The 4159-nt window shown below is 40.7% G+C and overlaps 1 annotated feature.

Annotated features, from left to right (window-relative positions):
• Window positions 2059–2588: an enhancer, noted in NCBI's record as "H3K27ac hESC enhancer chr8:80305081-80305610 (GRCh37/hg19 assembly coordinates)". NCBI's record gives its function as "activates a minimal SCP1, AML or CMV promoter by ChIP-STARR-seq in primed H9 embryonic stem cells {active_cell/tissue: H9 hESC(primed)}" and the evidence as "EXISTENCE:reporter gene assay evidence [ECO:0000049][PMID:30033119]".

Genomic DNA, 4159 nt, shown 5'->3' on the forward strand with positions numbered 1-4159 from the left:
AAGCGGGACTTGCCGCTAAGGGTGAAGGACCAAGGCAGGCGTCCCTGCGTGGTCTGACACCTTTGAAACGTGGGTGAATAATCAGAGAGGTGTCCCTGGAATTATCAAACACCAAGGGAAGGCTGCCTTCCCAGTCCGTGACCAGAGCCTGAGTTTTGGGTCCACGGATAAAACGTGTCTCCTTTGTCTCTACCAAAGGAATTGAAAGGAATTGAAATTAAGAGGAGAGATTGAAGTGTGGCGCCAAGATTGAAAGGAGAAAGAGGTTGAGGGATAGTGAGGGAGGTTGGAGAAGAGAGAAAAAAGAGGCCGCTTACCGGATTTGAAATTGGTGAGATGTTTCTTGGGCTGGTCAGTCTGAGGACCTGAGGTCATAGGTGGATCTTTCTCACGGAGCAAAGGACAAGAAGACAGGGGATTGATCTCCCAAGGGAGGTCCCCCGATTCGAGTCACGGCACCAAATTTCATGCACGTCCGTGTGAAGAGACCATCAAACAGGCTTTGTGGGAGCAACATGGCTGTTTTATTTCACCTGGGCGCAGGCGGGCTGAGTCCGAAAAGAGAGTCAGTGAAGGGAGATAAGGGTGGGGCCGTTTTATAGGATTTGGGAAGGTAATGGAAAATTACAGTCAAAGGGGGTTGTTCTCTGGTGGGCAGGGGTGGGGGTCACAAGGTGCTCAGTGGGGGAGCTTCTGAGCCAGGAGAAGGAAATTCACAGGGTTAATCACTCAGTTAAGGTGGGGCAGGAACAAATCACAATGGTGGAATGTCATCAGTTAAGGCGGGGCAGGGCCTTTTCACTTCTTTTGTGATTCTTCAGTTACTTCAGGCCATCTGGGCGTATATGTGCAAGTCACAGGTGATGTGATGGCTTGGCTTGGGCTCAGAGGCCTGACAATAGGGTTCTTTGCTTGGGGTCTTAAGGCTGGAATCCAGGTGTTGACTGGAGCTGCATTCTCATCTGGAGCTCAGGATTCGCTTCCAAACACATTCAGATTGTTGCCAGAATTTGGTTCCTTACAGTTATAGGATGGAGGTTCCTGTTTTCTGCTGGCTGTCAACTAAAGGCCACCCAATATTTCCTGCCACATGGCACTCTCCACAACATTGGAAGTTGGCCCCTCCAAGGCCAGAAGAATCACCTGCACTTTGAATCTTTTTACATCTTTTAAGGCTCGCCTGATTAGAGAAGACCCAGTCCAATAATCTTTCTTTTGATTAACTTAAAGTCAGTTGATTAAGGACCTTGTGATTGTACAGACTGGGTACACAGGAGAAGGGGATGGTAGAATTCTGTAAATGTAGGTGCTTTTATAAAAAATAACACTACCATAAAATGCTACTACATTTTATAAAAGGTTAGACTATTTTTGCTTCTTGAAAAAACAGGGTTATTTCAACAGAATTGACTTGCATACATAACTGGTATAAAATGTTATACTTCATTACCAAAAGCCATTGGATACCATATAATTTGGTCAAGTTCTGAAGCAGTCCTGCTATGAAAATGTTTTTTTGCTCTCCCAAATGTAAGCACACTATGCAACCAGAGAAAAAATGAATCACTTTTGGTTAGGTCAGCTCCTCCCTCCCTAACTCAACCACAAGGTCTAAGGGTATGCACACAAAACATCCAGATCCTGTGCCAGGCTGGAAGACACTGAGTCCACCATGGGATGGAAATGGGAATTCATAATGCTCCAATAAATATGGTGCCCATGTGCCAGCTGCTGTCTCTCACAGTATCCTGAGCACTACAGTGGCAACTGTCTTCCACAACTTCTCTATACTTTCCTGGACCGTTGAACTGGGTTATTGACAGATTTTTGCAGTACACTCTATGGCCTATATCTTTGAACAACCTCATTGTTATGGGTCTCTTACCACTTGCCTTAGATTTGGCCAGGCCCTTCCATGTGGAGCTGCACACTCTCTTCCATGTCCTTGGTTCCTCTTCCCATCTTGTTCCCTGGAGTTAGAATAATCAGAACTTCACTTCAATTATCACCTCAGCTGGGCACCGTGGCTCACACATGTAATCCTAGCACTTTGGGACACTGAAGTGGAAGGATCACATGAGCCCAGGAGTTCAAGACCAGCCTGGGCAACATAGCGAGACCCTATCTTGACAAAAAAAGGTTTTGTGGATTTTTATTTTTTTTTAGTTGGCCAGGTATGATGTCACATGTGGTTCTAGCTACTCAGGAGGCTAAAAAGGGAGGATCACTTCAGCCCAGGAGATCGAGGTTACAGTGAGCCATGATAGCACCACTGCACTCCAGCCTGGGTGATAGACCGAAGCACTGTCTCAAAAAAAAAAAAAAAAAAATCAACACTTACCTAGATTTCTGTTATCTTGCTCTTCCTTTGGAATTGAGCCTTTTTGGATAAAAATACCAATCAGAATAACAAAAGTAGCAGTGACTTATTTAGTGCCAACCATATGCAAGGTACTCAGCTGCATATTTTACATTCATATAAGACTTTCAACAACTTTTGAATAAATTATTATCTTCATGTTACTTATAAAAAACTGCAAATCAAAGAGATTATGTAACTAGCACTAGATCACCTACCCGACAGACATAAAGGCTGGAATTCAAACTTGGGTTGAGCTACTCCCAAACCCCAAGTCCTTTCCTTTTTAATTAGGAGAGAATATTATTTGTTACCCAAACTAGGACACTTCTGAGACAATAGAGGGTCTCATTAATAATTGTAATTAATGATTATTATTGTTATGATAACAATCAAAATTATTAATAATGGACAGGAACCAAGCCTCTTCCAGGTACATCAAAAGTATAATTTTCTTAATTGTAGCTATAACACCCTGAATATCCCAGGCCCTGTTTCATCAGTAAGAGACCTTTTAGTGACCAATCCAACAACTGGAGTGACTTTCTTAAGTGGGTCTCACCTTTCTCCCCTTCCCCCTTGATCAATAATGCACAGGTCACAGCATGCCTCAAGGCTATGCCTATTAAGATATTTCCTGTTAGTCTAAAGAAATGACATGAGTTTGAACTTAGTTGTAAAGCTTTGCAAGTCATTTTCACATTCTTCAATTTGTTTACCTGTAGCTCCGCTTCCCCAATCATTAGCAAGATTTCTCAGTTGCATCCTAGAGACCAAGGAAGCTTCAGAATAACGGAGATTTTCTCTATTAAAGCTATACACACAGTTTCTAGCACAACGATAATCCCAAAAGAAGTTTTCACAATGTTTAGGGATTGTAATAAATGTAGACACACACATAAATATAATATCTTTGTGCAGATAAAGATACATACACGTAGACAGTTTTTACGTGGCTCTCTCATATCTAGATCCATACAGAGCATAAATATTTCTACATTTCATTTTAAGAATTCATTATTACATAAAAGTAAAAGTCTCATGAGTTGGGGCTATGGTACAACATTACACATGGCTCAGTATGCAGTGAGAACACTATAGAGAATACAAATAGAGCAATTTCAACTAACATGTCATCCCTAAGTCTACAGGTTCTGCAAATCCTATAGTAATATACCCAGTTAATTTCAGTTTCCTTTTCTATAAGTAATTTTTCAAAGGTATTCTATGGATTTTCTAATACTTTGAGATTCTCTTTTAGAAAGGGTTATGTGGATTTTTAAGCTAGGAAAATGCTATTTTAGGAAATGATCCTTTACCTGTGCTTCCTAGAAATACTTAATTTCACATTCCTAAGACATTTCACTTCCCCAGGGACTCTCATTCAATTCTTTGGATTTCTCAAGCCCCGGAGGGAGCAAATATAAATTACCCTGGGATATTTCTTATTGATCTAGCCTTGCCCTCCATAGAAGACAAGAAAACAATAATTGAATTGTCTTTATAAATTATAGAATTAAAATATAAGTCTTCCATATAATTTTCCATCTTATTATTGTGGCTAAGCAGTAGTTAAGATTATCCCATAGGAAAAAATCTATATGCAGACAAATGTGGGAGACATACTTTCCATTTCTTCTCTCAGTACTTATTACCGTCTTAGAGCTTTTGAGAAGTTTGGCAATAAAGAACCCAAAAGAATTTGACTATAAAATCCTTTTCCCAAAAACACCTTCAAGGATCTCACTGGGCTGCAATTACATGGAATACACTGGGAAATGCTCTTTTAAATGACAAAAA

The sequence above is a fragment of the Homo sapiens genome, chromosome 8, assembly GCF_000001405.40.
Source record: "Homo sapiens chromosome 8, GRCh38.p14 Primary Assembly".
NCBI classification, from domain to species: Eukaryota; Metazoa; Chordata; class Mammalia; order Primates; family Hominidae; genus Homo; species Homo sapiens.